Source organism: Homo sapiens, chromosome 19, assembly GCF_000001405.40.
Source record: "Homo sapiens chromosome 19, GRCh38.p14 Primary Assembly".
Lineage (NCBI taxonomy): Eukaryota > Metazoa > Chordata > Mammalia > Primates > Hominidae > Homo > Homo sapiens.
Genome location: NC_000019.10, coordinates 52,740,871 through 52,759,837, shown reverse-complemented (window position 1 = coordinate 52,759,837; position 18,967 = coordinate 52,740,871). Strand labels below are relative to the sequence as shown.

The 18,967-nt window shown below is 43.4% G+C and overlaps 1 long non-coding RNA gene across 1 annotated transcript, besides 1 other annotated feature; it reads right to left on the bottom strand.

The window, feature by feature from the left end:
* Positions 3,012-3,727: an enhancer, noted in NCBI's record as "NANOG-H3K27ac hESC enhancer chr19:53259364-53260079 (GRCh37/hg19 assembly coordinates)". NCBI's record gives its function as "activates a minimal SCP1, AML or CMV promoter by ChIP-STARR-seq in naive H9 embryonic stem cells {active_cell/tissue: H9 hESC(naive)}" and the evidence as "EXISTENCE:reporter gene assay evidence [ECO:0000049][PMID:30033119]".
* On the bottom strand, positions 5,740-15,098 carry LOC105372452 (uncharacterized). Its single transcript, XR_936060.3, has 2 exons — positions 15,012-15,098; positions 5,740-5,903 (listed from the first exon to the last, which is right to left on the bottom strand). It is a non-coding gene; the product is annotated as an uncharacterized LOC105372452 (long non-coding RNA).
* Between the last annotated feature and the right edge of the window lie 3,869 nt (positions 15,099-18,967).

The window sequence follows — 18,967 nt, the reverse complement described above, 5'->3', positions numbered from 1 at the left end:
AAGGTGTTTTATTCCATCATTAGTTTAAGAATAGGAAATCAACCTAAATAATAGCAGGAGATTCATTAAACCATTCTTAGCACATTAAGCTCATGGAGACTGTGGGGTTACTGTGGAGAGGCTTGTGAAACAGGTGTTTTCGGTAAAAATGGTTACAATTTATTTTTTGAGATGGAGTCAGCCTCTGTCACCCAGGCTGGAGTGCAGTGCCATGATCTCAGTTTACTGCAACCTGCGCCTCCCAGGTTCAAGTGATTCTCCTGCCTCAGCCTCCCAAGTAGCTGGGGTTACAGGTATGTGCCTCCAGGCCCGGTTAATTTTTTTGTATTTTTAGTAGAGGTGGGGTTTCATCATGTTGGCCAGGGTGGCCTCAAACTCCTCACCTCAGGTTATCTGCCCACCTCAGCCTCCCAGAGTGCTGGGATTACAGGCACAAGCCACTGTGCTCAGCCCCACCAATTATTATTAAATAGATATTTTGATATTTAAACATCACGTGATGGATATATTTGTTTTCTAGTAAAACCCCGAGCAAAGCTGCAGCTTAGACCCTTTGCCATAAAGTATCTCCTTTCCCTGTCACGTCCTCCACCCTCCTTCCAACCTCACTGGGGAGCCGCTACTGGCAATTCTGTGTTAGGTGTCAAAGCAAGTCTCATACACGTGTATTTCTGCATCATTATGAGACTTTAAAAATAATTCTGTAGTAAATTAAAAAAATAAAACGTTTTATATTTATGTTTTTACTTTAGGATTGGGGCTACATGTGATGGTTTGTTACATAGGCAAACTCATGTCATTGAGGTTTGTTGTACAGATTATTCTATTGCTCCAGTATCAAGCCCAGTACCCAATAGTTTTTTTTTTCTTTTTTCTTTTTTTGACACTAAGTTTTGCACTTGTTTATTCAGGCTCGAGTGTGATGGCATGATCTCGGCTCACTGCAACCTCAGCCTCCTGGGTTCAAGCAAGTCTCCTGCCTCAGCCTCCCGAGTAGCTGGGATTACAAACACATGCCACCACCACACCTGGCTAATTTTTGTATTTTTAGTAGAGGCAGGGTTTCACCATGTTGGCCAGGCTGATGTTGAACTCCTGATGTCAGATGATCGAAGCCTCTCAGCCTCTCAAAGTGCTGGGATTACAGGTGTAAGCCACTGTGCCCAGCCCCCAATAGCTATTTTTTCTAGTCTTCTCCTTCCTCCCACTCTCTACCCTCAAGTAGACCCCAGCGTCTGTTGTTTTCTTCTTTGTGTTTTAGTAAATATTTTACTTTGATATTTGATCCTGCTAGTTGCGAAAATTTACATGTTGTCAAGTTAGTAAACATGGCTAGCTTGCTCTTTGACATCTGCTTTGGAAATTGGCTGAATGACAACATGTGGATCCTTTGAGATTTTTCCTTGTATAAGGAGTGCCATAGTGGCTGCCTCTCCACATGCCTGCATTACTACAGATATCTGAAGCTTCCTCCAGGTCAGTCAGTTGAAAGGGTGATTGCTTCTTCTAGCATGGGGCATTTCCTGTTTTCTTAGATCTGACAAGATTCCCCCCTACCCCCAACTGCCAAAGTGTCATTTTCTAGCAAGATGAGATTCCTCTTCAGTTAAACAAATCTTGTTACTTTTTATATTTTTAAAATCTTTATATATATATATATATATATATATACATATATACACACACACACATACACATGCACATACATATACATGCATATTTACACACACATATGTATATATTTTGAAAATCTGCTGGGCATGGTGGCTCATGCCTGTAATCCTATCACTTTGGGAGGCCGAGGTGGGTGGATCACCTGAGGTCAGGAGTTCACAACAAGCCTGGCCAACATGGTGAAACCCCATCTTTACTAAAAATACAGAAGTTAGCCGGGCATGGTGGTGGGCACCGGTAATCCCAGCTACTCTGGCTGAGGCAGGAGAACCACTTGAACCCAGAAGGCAGAGGTTGCAGTGAGCCAAGATTGCATTACCGCACTGCAGCCTGGGCGACAGAACGAGACCCTGTCTAAAAAAAAAAAAGAAAGAAAAGAAAATCTGGGGAAAATGACAACTTTTTTTGTTAACATCTAGTTTCTTGTGAGTCTGTGTAGGTTTTATTATTTTGCGGACCTATATAAACAAAATGGATTTTCGTACTTTGAGTTATTCTGTTTTCATATATTTGATTTTATTTTGAGAGAAGGTCTCGCTGTGTTGCTTAGGCTGGAGCGCAGTGGCATGATCTTAGCTCACTGCAACCTCCTTCAGGCTCAAGCCATCCCCAAGCCTCAGCCTCCCAAGTAGCTGGGACCACAGGTGCGTACCACCATGGCTGGTTAATTTTTTTTTTTTTGAGATGGAGTCTTGCTCTGTAGCCAAGCTGGAGTGCAGTGGCGTGATCTCGACTCACTGCAACCTCTGCCTCCCAGGTTCAAGCGATTCTCCTACCTCAGGCTCCCGAGTAGGTGAGACTACAGTTGAGTGCCACAACGCCCGGATAATTTTTTGGTATTTTCAGTAGAGACAGAATTTCACCTTGTTAGCCAGGACTGTCTGGATTTCCTAACCTCGTGATCCGCCCGCCTTTGCCTTTCTAAGTGCTGGGATTCCAGGCTGGTCTTGAACTCCTGTCCTCAGGTGATCTGCCTGCTTCAGCCTCATAGAGTGCTGAGATTACAGGCACGAGCCACCGTGCTCAGCCCCACCAATTATTATTAAATATATATTGTGATATTTAAACATCACATGATGTATGTATTTGTTTTGTGGTAACGCTCCAAGCAAAGCTGCAGCTTAGGCCCTTGTCCATAAAGCATCTCCTTTCCCTGTCACTTCCCTGTCACGTCCTCCACCCTCCTTCCAGCCTCCCTGGGGAGCCACTACTGTCAGTTCTGTGCCAGGTGTCAGAACAAGTCTTGTACACATGTATTTCTGCATCATTATGAGACTTTGGGAAATATTCTGCAGTAAATTTCACTCCCGTCTGTGAGAAGAGACCACCAAACAGGCTTTGTGTGATCAACAAGTCTGTTTATTTCACCTGGGTGCAGGCAGGCTGAGTCCAAAAAGAGAATCAGCGAGAGTGATAGGGGTGGGGCTGTTTTATAGGATTTGGGTACATAAAGGAAAATTACAGTCAAAGGGGGTTGTTCTCTTGAGGGCAGGGCCGGGGGTCACAAAGTGCTCAGTGGGGGAGCTTTTGAGCCAGGCTGAGCCAGGAGAAGGAATTTCACAAAGTAATGTCATCAGTTAAGGCAGGAACAGGCCATTTTCACTCCTTTTGTGATTCTTCAGTTACCTCAGGCCATCTGGATGTGTACCTGCAGGTCACAGGCTATATGATGGCTTAACTTGGGCTCAGAGGCCTGACATTCCTGTCTTCTTATAATAAATAAAAAATAAAACAAAATAGTGTTGAAGTCTTGGGGCGGCGAAAATTTTTGGGGGTGGTATGGAAAGAGAATGGGCGATGTTTCTCAGGGCTGCTTTGAGCAGGATTAGGGGCGGCGTGGGAACCTAGAGTGGGAGAGATTAAGCTGAAGGAAGATTTTGTGGTAAGGGGTGATATTGTGGGGTTGGTAGAAGAAACATTTGTCATATAGAATTATTGGTGATGGCCTGGATATGGTTTTGTATGAATTGAAAAACTAAACAGAATAAGAGAAGGAGAAAAACAGGTATTAAAAGACTAAGAATTGGGAGGACCCAGGACATCCAATTAGAGAGTGCCTAAGGAGGTTCAGCATAGCCTTGCCAGCAAAGATTATTTATTTACTTTAAGAGTTAAGAGTGGTGGTTTGGGGATAGCACCAGGAGATACCAGCTGTGATGGCTTGGAGAAACAGTGTAAACTGGCAGTGTAAAGAAGAGCAGGGCATTTATGAGTAGTTGACAAGGGTGAATAGGAGTATGACTAGATAGAAGATAGGGATGACAAGTTTTTTGGGGCACAGTCCAAGTTGCTCTGGTGTCTGGAATGATACTGGGGCCTAATAAAAAGGAGCATTCACACAGGAGCTCAAATGGGCTGTACCCCGTAGCATTTCAAGGACAGGCCCTAATTCTGAGAAGCGAAAGTGGTAAAAGTATTGTCCAGTCCTTTTTAAGTTGGTGGCTGAGCTTGGTAAGGTGTGTTTTTAAAAGACCATTAGTCCATTCTGCCTTTTCTGAAGATTGAGGACGGTAAAGAGTATGAAGGTTCCTCTGAATACCAAGAGCCTGAGAAACTGCTTGGGTGATTTGCCTAATAAAGGCTGGTCCGTTATCGGACTGTATAGAGGTGGGAAGGCCAAACTTGTTGGGAGCAAGCCCCCCAAAAACAAAATCTCTGTAGCAGTGTAACAGGTTCATAATGGCCCTAACGCCCATGCTGGAAGGTTGTGGGTTTACGGGAATGAGGGCAAGGAACACCTGGCCAGCCCAGGGTGGAAAACCACTTAAAGCCATTCTTAAGCCACAAACAATAGCATGAGAGATCTGTGCCTTAAGGACATGCTCCTGCTGCAGTTAAGAAGCCCAACCTATTCGTTTAATTTGGCCCATCCCTTCGTTTCCCATAAGGAATACTTTTAGTTAATTTAATATCTATAGAAAGAATGCTAATGACTGGTTTGCTGTTAATAAATGCGTGGGTAAATCTCTGTTTGGGGCTCTCAGCTCTGAAGGCTGTGAGACCCCTGATTTCCTACTTCACACCTCTATCTTTCTGTGTGTGTGTCTTTCATTCCTGTAGCACCACTGGGTTAGGGTCTCCCTGACTGAGCTGGTCTCGGCAAGTGGCGTACCTTCATGGGGGCTCGAATCCAGGTTGAAGGGTCACCGGAGCGACAGTTGGAATGGAAAACTAGCTGGAGGACACCCAAGTACTCTTAAAGCAATCCCTGTGGTGAGTAACAAGAGGAGCTCAGAAGCCTCAGGGTAACAATGGGACAGGTGTGGGGTCTGGTTCGTTCCACCTTGGAACTTATTCACAGTTATGATGAGGAGGAAGTGACAGAAGAGGTTACAGAGCAGGTTTATTTGCCAGCTAAAGCTAAAGCGGCAAAAGAGGAAGAGGTTCATCCCTACCTTTCTGCACCCCCTCATTATTATTTTGAAGAAAATGACCTTCCAGATCTTTCTTTTCTGGAGAACACTGGGTGAAAAGGAGTTGCCCCAGTGACTGTTTGATCAGTGCCTCAAGCAATCGCTCTTAGTTCTATTCAGGCAGGAATTCAGCAAGCTAGAAGAGAGGGTGATTTAGAGACTTGGCAGTTCCCTGTTAGAATACACCCCCCAGATCAACAGGGAAATATTACAACTATATTTGAGCCTTTTCTTTTTAAGTTACTCAAAGAATTTAAACAAGTTATAAATCAGTATGGACCAGGTTCTCCTTTTGTAATGGGACTGTTAAAGAATGTTGCTATTTCCAGTCAGATGATACCTACTGACTGGGACTGTCTTACTTGAGCTTATCTAACTCCTGCTCAGTTCTTACAATTTAAAACTTGGTGGGCAGATGAAGCTTCCATTCAGGCTGCTCGCAATGCCCAGGCCCAACCTCAAATTAATGTAACTGCAGACCAACTTTTGGGGGTTGGTGGCTGGGCTGGCTTAGGTGCCCAACTGGTCATGCAGGATGATGCCATAGAACAGCTTAGAGGAGTGTGCATTAGAGCTTGGGAAAAAATCACTTCATGTGGAGAACAATACCCTTCCTTTAGTGCTATGAAACAGGGACCAAGAGAACCATACGTTGATTTTATAGCTTGGTTACAGAAGTCTCTTAAAAAGATGATTGCAGATTCAGCTGCTCAGGATATAGTGTTGCAGTTATTAAGTTTTGACAATGCTTTTTTTTTTTCTTTTTTTGAGATGGAGTCTCGCTCTGTAATCCCAATTGCCACGCTGCTCTGTGACCTATTAGAAGGAAAGCACATTTAGTTAATTATATCAAGGCTTGTGATGGTATCGGAGGTAATCTGCATAAAGCTGCCTTGTTGGCACAGGCAATGGCAGGACTGAGAGTGGACAAAGGAAATACTCCATTTCCTGGCGCTTGTTTTAACTGTGGGAAGCATGGTCATACTAAAAACAAATGTAGAAAAAATCAGCGAATCAGGCCACCAGATAGGGGAAAAAAGAAAACTGCAGATCCTGAAATATGTCCAAAATGTAAAAAAGGAAAACATTGGGCTAATCAGTGTCCCTCTAAGTTTCATAAAGATGGGAATACGATTTCGGGAAATGCCATGAGGGGCCTGTCCCGGGCCCCATTCTAAACGGGGGCATTTCCAGCTCAGACCATTCCCTCACCCCTGTACAATGTCTGTCCCCCGCCATAGCCGGTAGTGCCACAGTAGATTTATGCTGCATAAAAGCTGTGAGACTTCTACCTGGGGAACCCCCGCAAAAGGTCCCAACAGGAGTCTGTGGACCCTTGCCAGCGGGTACAATCGGATTACTTTTAGGAAAGTCTAGTTTAGGTTTAAAAGGGGTACAAATACATACAGGAGTCATTGATTCAGATTACAATAGGGAAATTCAAATTGTTATACCTACTTATGTTTCCTGGAAAGCAGAGCCAGGAGAGCCCATAGCACAGCTCCTGATTGTGCCATATGTGGAAATGGGAAAAAGTGAAATTAAACGAACAGGAGGATTTGGAAGCACAAATAAACAAGGCAAAGCAGCTTATTGGGTCAACCAAATTACTGATAAATGTCCTACCTGTGAAATAACTATTCAGGGAAAGAAATTTAAAGGTTTGGTAGATACAAGAGCGGACATTTCAATCATTTCTCTACAGCACTGGCCGTCCACGTGGCCAATTCAACCCACTCAATTTAACATAGTTGGAGTTGGTGAAGCCCCTGAAGTATATCAGAGTAGTTCTGTTTTGCCTTGTGAAGGGCCCGATGGACAACCCGAGACTATTCAACCAATTATAACTTCTGTATCTATAAATTTATGGGGAAGAGATTTATTACAACAATGCAGAGCCCAAGTTCTAATTCCAGAACAATTATATAGCCCTCAAAGTCAACATATGATGCATGAAATGGGGTATGTCCCTGGTATGGGACTACAAAAAAATTTGCAAGGTTTAAAAAGTTCCCGCCAAAGATTAGGAAATAATTTTTGATGGTGGCCATTGTTAAGCCTCCAGAACCTATACCTTTAAAATGGTTCACAGATAAGCCAATTTGGATAGAACAATGGCCACTAAGTAAAGAGAAACTGGAGGCTTTAGAGAAATTAGTTACTGAACAGATAGAAAATGGGCATATTGCTCCAACAGTTTCCCCTTGGAATTCTCCAGTTTTCATAATTAAGAAAAAATCAGGTAAATGGAGGATGTTAACTGACTTAAGAGCTATCAATTCAACTATATAACCTATGGGAGCATTACAGCAAGGATTGCTTTCTCTTACTAAAATTCCAAAAATTGGCCTTTAGTAGTCATAGATTTAAAAGACTGTTTCTTTACTATCCCCTTAGCTGAACAAGACTGTGAATGGTTTGCATTTACAATTCCTGCAGTAAACAACCTGCAGCCTGCTAAGCGTTTTCATTGTTTCACAGATGTGTCTAGTAATGGTAAAGCTTCTTAGTTTGGCTCAAAAAGTAAAGTTTTCAGACGCCCTATACTTCAGCTCAAAAAGCTGAGTAGCTGTAATTGAGTTATTGACTGCTTTTGATATACCTATTAATGTGATTTCTGATTCTTCATACGTGGTTCATTCCACACAGTTAATTGAAAATGCTCAATTACAATTTCATACAGATGAACAACTGATGACTTTATTTACCCAATTGCAAACAGCAGTTAGAAGTAGAATGCACCATTTTTGCATCACTCACATTTGGGCTCATACACCTCTTCTAGGACCTTTGACTGAAGGGAATCAAATGGCTGATCACTTAGTTGCTAATGCAATATCTAATGCTAGACATTTTGACCATTTAACCCACGTTAATGCCTCTGGTCTCAAATGCAGATACAGCATTACCTGGAAAGAAGCTAAAAATATTATCCACTGATGCCCAACTTGCCAAATGATACATTCCTCATCTTTTACAGGAGGAGTTAATCTTCAAGGATTGGAACCTAACTCGGTTTGGCAAATGGATGTCACACATGTTCCCTCGTTTGGGAGACTAGCTTATGTACATGTATGTGTGGGCACCTTTTCTCACTTTGTCTGGGCTTACATGCCAAACAGGAGAGTCTTCTGCCTGTGTTAAATGTCATCTTTTGCAGTGTTTTGTGGTGATGGGCATTCCCGCTTCTATAAAAACAGATAATGCCCCAGGCTATACTAGCCAAGTTCTAGCTACATTTTTCTCTATGAGGAATATTAAACACATTACTGGTATCCCGTACAATTCTCAAGGACAAGCCATAGTGGAAAGAATGAATCTCTCCCTAAAACAGCAGTTGCAAAAGCAGAAAGGGGGAGACAGAGAATATGGAACACCACAGGAGCAACTGAATCTGGCATTATTAACTTTAAATTTTTTGAGCCTGCCCAAAGGCCAGATGTTATCAGCAGCTGAACAGCATCTACAGAAACCAGCTGCAAAGACAGAAGCAGAAGAATGATTTGGCAGAGAGATCCAATAACAAAAATTTGGGAAATAGGTAAAATAATAACTTGGGGTAGAGGTTATGCTTGTGTTTCTCCAGGCCAAAATCATCAGTCAGTTTGGATACCATCAAGACACCTGAAATCTTGTCATGGGCCAGATGCCAAGGAAGAGATTCCGGGAGGATCCTGAGGACCCCCCCGGTTGCAGCCATGTCAAGGCTGGTGCCGAGGAGGACCCCAACTGTCACGAGCAACACCCATCGAATACAGCCACCGACCTGGAGACAGATCAAGAAGCTGTCACAGATCCAGGAAGACAACCTGAGGAAAGCAGGACAACCACTCACAGTGAATAATTTAATGGTAGCTATGATGGCAGTGATCACCATTTCTGTGAGTATTCCTTCAACAAAGGCTGACACAGAGAACAATTGTACTTATTAGGCATATTTATCAATCTTAGCTGGTAATAATGCCTGGATGTAAATCACTGTATGACACAGTTACACATGCTTTCTGATCTCAGTATTTACCATAATAAATCTGCTCCTGTAATTGAGGCATACAACCCCCAAAAACCTATTTGTAAACAGGATTGGACTCAGTTAGAAAAAATGAACGTATTTGTTTAGCAAGATTGCATTGCAGAACAGGCAGAGGTGCTGCACAATGATTCCCATGGAATCATTATTGACTGGTCCCCTAAGGGATATTTAGCTTGAATTGCACTTCTCAGTCTATGTGTCACGTTCACACTATGTTCAGCAGATCTGAACAAAATGGTCAGATGGTAGAAAAGATAAGTGAGGGGAAAAGAAAGAGAAATCAGACTGTTACTGTGTCTATGTAGAAAGAAGTAGACATAAGAGACTCCATTTTGTTCTGTACTAATAGAAATTCTTCTGTCTTGAGATGCTGTGAATCTGTAACCCTAGCTCCAACCCTGTGCTTGCAGAGACATGTGCTGTGTCAACTCAAGGTTTAATGGATTTAGGGCTGTGCAGGATGTGCTTTGTTTAAAAAGTGCTTAAAGGCAGTATGCTTGGTAAAAGTCATCCCCATTCTCTAATCTCAAATACCCAAGGACACAATACACTGCGGAAGGCCGCAGGGACCTCTGCCTCAGAAAACCAGGTATTGTCCAAGGTTTCTCCCCATGTGATAGCCTGAGATATTGTCTCATGGGAAGTGAAAGACCTGACTGTCCCCCAGCCTGACTCCCATAAAGGGTCTGTGCTGAAGAGGATTAATAAAAGAGGAAGGCCTCTGCAGTTAAGATAAGAGGAAGGCATCTGTCTCCTGCTCCTCCCTAAAAATAAAATGTCTTGGTGTAAAACCTGATCGTATGTTCTGTTTACTGAGATAAGAGAAAACCACCTTAGGGCTAGAGGTAAAACATGCTGGCAGCAATACTACCATTTAATGCACTGAAATGTTTGTGTACGTACACATCAAAACACAGCACCTTTCCTTAAACTTATTCATAACACAGAGATCTTTGTTCACATGTTTTCCTGCTGACCCTCTCCCCACTATTACCCTATTGTCCTGCCACATCCCCCTCTCTGAGACGGTAGAGATAATGATCAATAAATAGTGAGGAATCTCAGAGACCAGTGCCTGTGCAGGACCTCCATATGCTGAGCGCCGGTCCTTTCTCTATACTTTGTTCTTTCTCTATACTTTGTCTCTGTGTCTTATTTCTTTTCTCAGTCTCTCGTCCCACCTGACAAAAAAGACTCACAGGTGTAGAGGGGCTGGCCACCTTCACCTGGTGTCTAATGTGGGGCTTTTCTCTAGGGTAAACCTACGCTTGAGCGTGGTTATTGAGGACAAGTCAACGAGAGATTCCCAAGTACTTCTACGGTCAGCCTTGCGGTAAGCTCCTGAGCTCGAAAAAAGCCAGGGTAACAATGGGACAAGCTAAAAGTAAATATGCCTCTTATCTCAGCTTTATTAAAATTCTTTTAAGAAAAGGGGGAGTTAGAGTCTCTACAGAAAATCTAATCAAGCTATTTGAAACAATAGAACAATTCTGCCCATGGTTTCCAGAACAGGGAACTTTAGATCTAAAAGATTGGGAAAAAATTGGCAAAGAATTAAAACAGAGAAGTAGGGAGGGTAAAATCATCCCACTTATGGTATGGAATGATTGGGCCATTATTAAAGCAGCTTTAAAACCGTTTCAAACAGGAGAAGACAGCGTTTCAGTTTCTGATGGCCCTAAAAGCTATGTAATAGATTGTGAAGAAGAGACAGGGACAGAATCCCAGAAAGGAACGGAAAGTTCACATTGTAAATATGTAGCAGAGTCTGTAATGGGTCGGTCAAAGCAAAATGTTGACTACAATCAATTACAAGAGGTAATATATTCTGAAACATTAAAGTTAAAAGAAAAAGGTCCAGAATCATCGGGGTCATAGGGGCTAAAACCACGATGGCCACCTCCTCCTCAGCCAAGTGAGTGCTGGGGGAGGGAGCCTGAAACTAGGCTCACTGCAACTTGGCTCGCTGTGCCCATTATTGCCCAACTTACAGTTCATTATGGTGAAGGAGCAATTCAGACTTGCCTTGCAGCATCCTGTCTGAGTCAAACAGTGGCTGCTCCCTAAGGAAAATTTGGGGGCGCTACATAAAATAGTTAAAAAACTACTTAAAAAGGACACGTTTCACCCACTTTCTCTCCTTAGAATTCTCCTGTGTTTGTAATTCAGAAAAAATCCAGCAGATGGTGTATGTTAACTGACTTAAGAGCCGTAAATGCCATCATTCAACCCATGGGGCCTCTTCAACTCGGGTTGTCCTCTCTGGTCATGATCCCAAAAGACTGGCCTTTAATTATAATTGATCTAAAGGATTGCTTTTTTACCATTTTTCTGGTGGAGAAAGATTTTGAAAAATTTGCCTTTACTATACCAGCCATAAATTATAAGGAACCAGCCACCAGGTCTCAGTGGAAAGTGTTACCTCAGGGAATGCTTAATAGTCCAACTATTTGTCAGACTTTCGTAGGTCAAGCTCTTCAACCAGTTAGAGATAAGTTTTCAGACTGTTATATCATTCATTATGTTGATGATATTTTGTGTGCTGCAGAAACAAGAGACAAATTAACTGACTGTTACACATTTCTGCAAGCAGAGGTTGCCAACGCAAGACTGGCAATAGCATCTGATAAGATTCAAACCTCTACTCCTTTTCATTATTTAGAGATGCAGATAGAAAATAGAAAAATTAAGCCACAAAAAGTAGAAATAAGAAAAGACACATTAAAAACATTAAATGACTTTCAAAACTTGCTAGGAGATATTAATTACATTCAGCCAACTCTAGGCATTCCTACTTATGCCATGTCAAATTTGTTCTCTATCTTAAGAGGGGACCCAGACTTAAATAGTAAAAGAATATTAACCCCAGAGGCAACAAAAAAAATTAAGTTAGTAAAAGAAAAAAATCAGTCAGCACAAAGGTCCCTTAACCCCACTCCAACTTTTGATTTTTGCTACTGCACATTCTCCAACAGACATCATTGTTCAAAATACTGATCTTGTGGAGTGGTCATTCCTTCCTCACAGTACAATTAAGACTTTTACATTGTTCTTGGATCAAATAGCTACATTAATTGGTCAGGCAAGATTACAAATAATAAAATTGTGTGAAAATGACGCAGACAAAATAGTTGTTCCTTTAAACAAGGAACAGGTTAGACAAGCCTTTATCAATTCTGATGCATGGCAGATTGGTCTTACTAATTTTGTGGGAATTATTGATAATCATTACCCAAAAACAAAAATCTTCCAGTTTTTAAAATTGACTACTTGGATTTTACCTAAAATTACCAGACATAAACCTTTGGAAAATGCTCTGACAGTGTTTACTGATGCTTCCAGCAATAGAAAAGCAGCTTACACAGGGCCAAAACAGCGAGTCATCAAAACTCAATATCAATCGGCTCAAAGAGCAGAGTTGGTTGCAGTCATTACAGTGTTATAAGACTTTGATCAACCTATTAATATTGTATCAGATTCTGCATATGTAGCGCAGGCTACAAGGGATGTTGAGACAGCTCTAATTAAATATAGCATAGATGATCAGTTAAACGAGCTGTTCAGTTTATTACAACAAACTGAAAAAAAAATTTCCCATTTCATATTACTCATATTTTAGCACACACTAATTTACCAGGGCCTTTAGCTAAAGCAAATGAACAAGCTGACTTACTGGTACCATCTGCATTCATAAAAGCACAAGAACTTCATGCTTTGACTCATGTAAATGCAGCAGGATTAAAAAACAAATTTGATGTCACATGAAAACAGGCAAAAGATATTGTACAACATTGCACCCAGTGTCAAGTCCTACACCTGCCCACTCAAGAGGCAGGAGTTAATCCCAGAAGTCTATGTCCTAATGCATTATGGCAAATAGATGTCACACATGTACCTTCATTTAAAAGATTATGATGTGTCCGTGTAACAGTTGGTACTTATTCACATTTCATGTGGGCAACTTGCCAGACAGGAGAAAGTACTTCCCATGTGAAAAAACATTTATTATCTTGTTTTGCTGTCATGGGAGTTCCAGAAAAAAATCAAAACTGACAATGCACCTGGATACTATAGTAAAGCTTTCCAAAAATTCTGAAATCAGTAGAAAATTACACACAAAACAGGAATTCCCTATAATTCCCAAGGACAGGCCATAGTTAAAAAAACTAATAGAACACTCAAAACTCAGTTAAAGAGAAGGGGGAGACAGTAAGGAGTGTACCACTCCTCAGATGCAACTTAATCTAGCACTCTATACTTTAAATGTTTTAAACACTTATAGAAATCAGACTACTACCTCTGCAAAACAACATCTTACTGGTAAAAAGAACAGCCTACGTGAAGGAAAACTGATTTGATAAAAAGACAACAACAATAAGACATGAGAAATAGGGAAGGTGGTAACGTGGGGGAGAGGTTTTGCTTGTGTTTCACCAGGAGAAAATCAGCTTCCTGTTTAGATACCCACTAGACATTTAAAGTTCTACAATGAACCCATTAGAGATGCAAACAAACAAAAAAAAAAGCGCCTCCACAGAGACGGAAACACCGCAATCGAGCACCATTGACTCACAAGATAAACAAAATGGTGATGTCAAAAAAACAGATGAAGTTGCCATCCACCACGAAGGCGGAGCTGCCAACTTGGGCACAATTTAAAAGCTGACACAGTTAGCTTAAAAAAGCCTAGAGAACACAAAGGTGACACAAACTCCAGAGAACACGCTGCTTGCAGCTTTGATGATTGTATCAACGGTGGTAAGTCTCCCCACGCCTGCAGGAGCAGCTGCAGCTAATTATACCTACTGGGCCTATGTGCCTTTCCCGCCCTTAATTCGGGCAGTCTCATGGATGGATAATCCTATTGAAGTATACGTTAATAATAGTGTATGGGTACCTGGCCCCACAGATGATCGTTGCCCTGCCAAACCTGAGGAAGAAGGAATGATGATAAATATTTCCACTGGGTATCATTATCCTCCTATTTGCCTCGGGAGAGCACCAGGATGTTTAATGCCTGCAGTCAAAAATTGGTTGGTAGAAGTACCTACTGTCGGTACCACCAGTAGATTCACTAATCACGCGGTAAGTGGAATGTCACTCAGGCCACAGGTAAATTATTTACAAGACTTTTCTTATCAAAGATCATTAAAATTTAGGCCTAAAGGAAAGCCTTACCCCCAAAAAATCCCAAAGGATCAAAAGACACAAAAGTTTTAGTTTGGGAAGAATGTGTGGCCAATAGTGCGGTGATATTACAAAATGATAAATTCGGAACTATTATAGATTGGGCACCTCGAGGTCAATTCTACCACAATTGCACAGGACAAACTCAGTCATGTCCCAGTGCAGAAGTGAGTCCAGCTGTTAACAGTGACTTAACAAAAAGTTTAGCCAAACATAAGCACAAAAAATTGCCGTCTTTCTACCCTTGGGAATGGGGAGAAAAAAAAATCTCTACTCCAAGAACAAAGATAATAAGTTCTGTTTCTGGTCCTGAACATCCAAAATTATAGAGTCTTACTGTGGCCTCATACCGCATTAAAATTTGGTCTGGAAATCAAGCTATAGAAACAAGAGATCGTAAGCCATTTTATACTATCGACCTAAATTCCAGTCTAACAGTTCCTTTGCAAAGTTGTGTAAAGCCCCCTTATATGCTAGTTGTAGGAAATATAGTTATTAAACCAGACTCCCTTGTTGCCCATGTTGGTCTCAAACTTCTGGGCTCAAATGACCTGCCTGCCTCAACTTCCCAAAGTGCTGGGATTACCCAGCTGGGCCACGACTCCCGTCTGATCTTGCAATTTTCCAGAGGAGGAAGACCAAGGCAGCCTATTGGCCCTTCCAGGCCATCTCGTGGGAGTCAGCCACACCTATTTTCTACTCACCTCAGAGCTTCTCAGGATAACTTGGTGAAATGTCTCCCGTTGTGAGCCTCAGTGAGCCCCCCTTAACATAGAGGTGAGGAATAAGACTGGAAAAGCTCAGTCACAGTGACAGTGACCCCTGAAATGACTGGCAAAATACAGTGTGTGGCTTTTCTTCTCGAGAGGTTAGTGCTCAGTTTGTTTGTTTGTTTGTTTGTTTGTTTTTGAGACTGACTCTCGCCCTGTGGCCCAGGCTGGAGTGCAGTGGTGCGATCTCGGCTCACTGCAACCTCCACCTCCCGGGTTCAAGCGATTCTCCTGCCTCAGCCTCTCGAATAGCTGGGATCAGAGTTGGTTTTCAATATTCTTTTGGGTTGTGGGAGAAAAATGTTTGAAGACCTTGTCCCTATGGATCTGTGCCCCCAGGACCTCTCTGACCTCATCTATCTGTGCCCTCCTTTCTTCCACTGCTCCACCCACACGGGCCACTTTCCTCTTCCTGGGGCTGAGATTGCTCCTGTCTCAGGGCCTTTGCTTGAGCTGTCCCTCTGCCTAGGACTCTCTGTCCCCTCAGCTGCAAGTGACAAGCATCATTTCTTCCCTAGGTGTTTGTTCTGGTATCACCTTCTGTGTGGAAACCTTTGTGATCTCACACAGATCCGCATTTGACATTGCAGCTGTGAGCCCAGGACTTCTCAGACAGATCTCAGTTAATTTAGAAAGTTTATTTCACCAAGGTTGAGGACACACCCGTGGCACAGCCTCAGGAATTCCTGATGACATGTGCCCCAGGTGGACGGGGCACAGCTTAATTTTATACACTTTAGGGAGACACCAGTCAATATAGTAACAAGTACGTTGGTTTGGTCTGGAAAGGCAGGACAACTTTAAACAAAGCCAGGGAGACTTGAACTTGAAGCAGGGAGGGGGCTTCCAGGTCACAGATAAGTGAGGCACAAATGGTTGCGATCTTTTGAGGTTCTTTTTTTCTTTTGAGATGAAGTCTTGCTCTGTGGCCCAGGCTGGAGTGCAATGGCAGGATCTTGACTCACTCCAACCTCTGCCTCCTGCATTCAGGTGATTCTCCTGCCTCAGCTTCCCAAGTAGCTGGGACTACAGGTGCATGCCACCATGCTCAGATAACTTTTGTATTTTTAGTAGAGATGTTTCACCATGTTGGCCGGGCTAGTCTTGAACCCTTCACCCCAAGTGATCTGCCTGCCTTGGCCTCCCAAAGTGCTGGGATTACAGTCCTGAGGCACTGTGCTGGGTCCTTCTTTTGAGTTTCTGATTAGCGTTGCCAAAGGAGGCACTCAGATAAGCATGTATGTCAGGGAGCAGAGTGGTGACTTTGAATAGAAGGTGAGTCTGGTTTTCTAAGCAGTACCTAGCTTGACTTTTCCCTTTTGCTTAGTGATTTGGGGTCCCCAAATTTATTTTCCTTTCACACAGCCCAACCCTCACACCACCTCTGGTCTATCTTGCCTGTTCTGTGTGATTACTTTTGTGCCTTTGTCATCCACTCTCTGGATCCTAGTGAGCACAAGGCCCCAAGGGGAGGGCGGAGCAAGAACTTGGGGCTGTGCTGGGCTCGCCCCATCTGAGTGGAGCTCAACCCTGGCTTCACATTAGAGTGCAGAGCATTTTGCAAATAGAGCTTTTGTGTTGCTTTAGCAGGGATTCTTATTCTGATGGGTTGGAACCCACCCTCAGTAATACCTGCAGTGGCGCAGGTGCTTGTCATCTGTGTGCAGCATTGAGCATGGAAGCTCTGTGTCCTCCATTTCTGAGTGCTGAGCTCAGCCTGTGATCCACAGAGAGTGAGGGGCTGTCCTCCAGATGGGGATTGATGAGGGATGAGGGACGAGTCTGTGCCGAGGGGAGATCAATCCAGCCCAGCTCCCCCCCGCCCCCCCGTTACCTCGTATGTGGGTGTTTTCTAGGAGGGGAGTGAGATCTGAAGACCTGGGTCAAATATACACTTGTAGGTCTTCCTGTGGGACTTTCTTATCTCTGCATGATCTCTGGTGCAGTGGGAAGCAGACGACCATCTTTCTACGGGTGAAATCTCTCCTGTCTGTGGGTTTTTGCCCCAGGAAGGGAATGAGTCATTTCTAACATGAAGTCTCATATTTTTTTTTGTGGGGAGAAGAAAGAGAGATCAGATTGTTACTGTGTCTATATAGAAAAGGAAGACATAAGAAACTCCATTTTGATCTGTATGAAGCAAAACTGTTCTGCTTTGAGATACTATAAATCTGTAAATTTAGCCCCAACCCTGTGCTCACGGAAACATGTGCTGTATTGAATCAAGGTTTAATGGATTTAGGGCTGTGTGGGCTGTGCCTTGTTAACAGTATTTTTGCATGCAGTATGCTTTGTAAAAGTCATGCCATTCTCCATTCTCTATTAACCAGGGACACAATGCACTGCGGAAAGCCACAGGGACCTCTGCCCAAGTAAGCCTGGGTATTGTCCAAGGTTTCCACCCACTGAGACAGCCTGAGATATGGTCTTGTGGGAAAGGAAAGACCTTATATCCCCCAGCCCAACACCAGTGAAGGGTCTGTGCTGAGGAGGATTAGTGAAAGAGGGAGGCCTCTTTTCAATTGAGATAAGAGGAAGGCATCTGTCTCCTGCTCGTCCTGGGAATGGAATGTCTAGGTGTAAAGCTGACCATTCTTTGTATTCTGAGATAGGAGAAAACTGCCCTGTGGCTGGAGGTGAGATATGCTGGCAGCAATACTGCTCTGTGACTCTTTGCTACGCTGAGATGTTTGTGTAAAGTGAAACATAAATCTGGCCTACGTGCACATCCAGTGAAGGGCGCCAGCCCCTCCACACCTGTGAGTATTTCTCATCAGGTGGGACGAGAGACAGAGAAAAGAAATAAGACACAGAGACAAAGTATAGGGAAAGTACAGTGGGCCCAGGGGACCAGCGCTCAGCATACGGAGGACCCGCACAGTCTCTGAGTTTCCTCAGTGTTTATTGATCATTATTTTTACTATCTTAGTGAGGGGAGTGTAGCAGGGCAACAGGTGGGGAGAAGGTCAGCAGGGAAACATGTGAACAAAGGAATCTGTATCATGAATAAGTTCAAGGAAAGGAACTGTGCCCCAATGTTCACATAGGCTAGATTTATGTTTCTCTTCACCCAAACATCTCCGTGTGGGAAAGAGTAACAGAGCGGTATTGCTGCCCGCATATCTCGCCCCCGCCCACAGGGCGGTTTTCTCCTATCTCAGAATAGAACGAATGGGAATGGTCAGCTCTATACTGAGACATTCCATTCCCAGGGATGAGCAGGAGACAGAAGCCTTCCTCTTATCTCAACTGCAAAGAGGCCTCCCTCTTTCACTACTCCTCCTCAGCACAGACCCTTTATGGGTGGGCTGGCAGATGGTAAGGCCTTTCCTATCCCATGAGGCCATATCTCAGGCTGTCTCAGTGGGGGTAAACCTTGGACAAAACCCAGGGTTTCTTGGGCAGAGGTCCCTGCGGCTTTCCACAGTGCATTTTCTCCCTGGTTAATTGAGAATGGCGAATGGCGATGACTTTTACCAAGCATACTGCCTGCAAACATGGTTAACAAGGCACATCCTGGCCGGGCATGGTGGCTCACGCCTGTAATCCCAGCACTTTGGGAAGCCGAGGCGGGTCAGGAGTTCGAGACCAGCCTGACCAACATGTTGAAAACCCGTCTCTACTAAAAATACAAAAATTAGCCGGGCGTAGTGGCCGGTGCCTGTAATCCCGGCTACTCGGGAGGCTGAGGCAGGAGAATCGCTTGACCCAGGTGGCAGAGGTGGCAGTGAGCCGAGATCATGCCACTGCACTGCAGCCAGCACGACAAAATGAGACTCCACCTCCGAAAAACAAAACAAATCAAGGCACATCCTGCACAGCCCTAAATCCATTAAACCTTGATTCAATACAGCACATGTTTCTGTGAGCACAGGGTTGGGGCTAAAGTT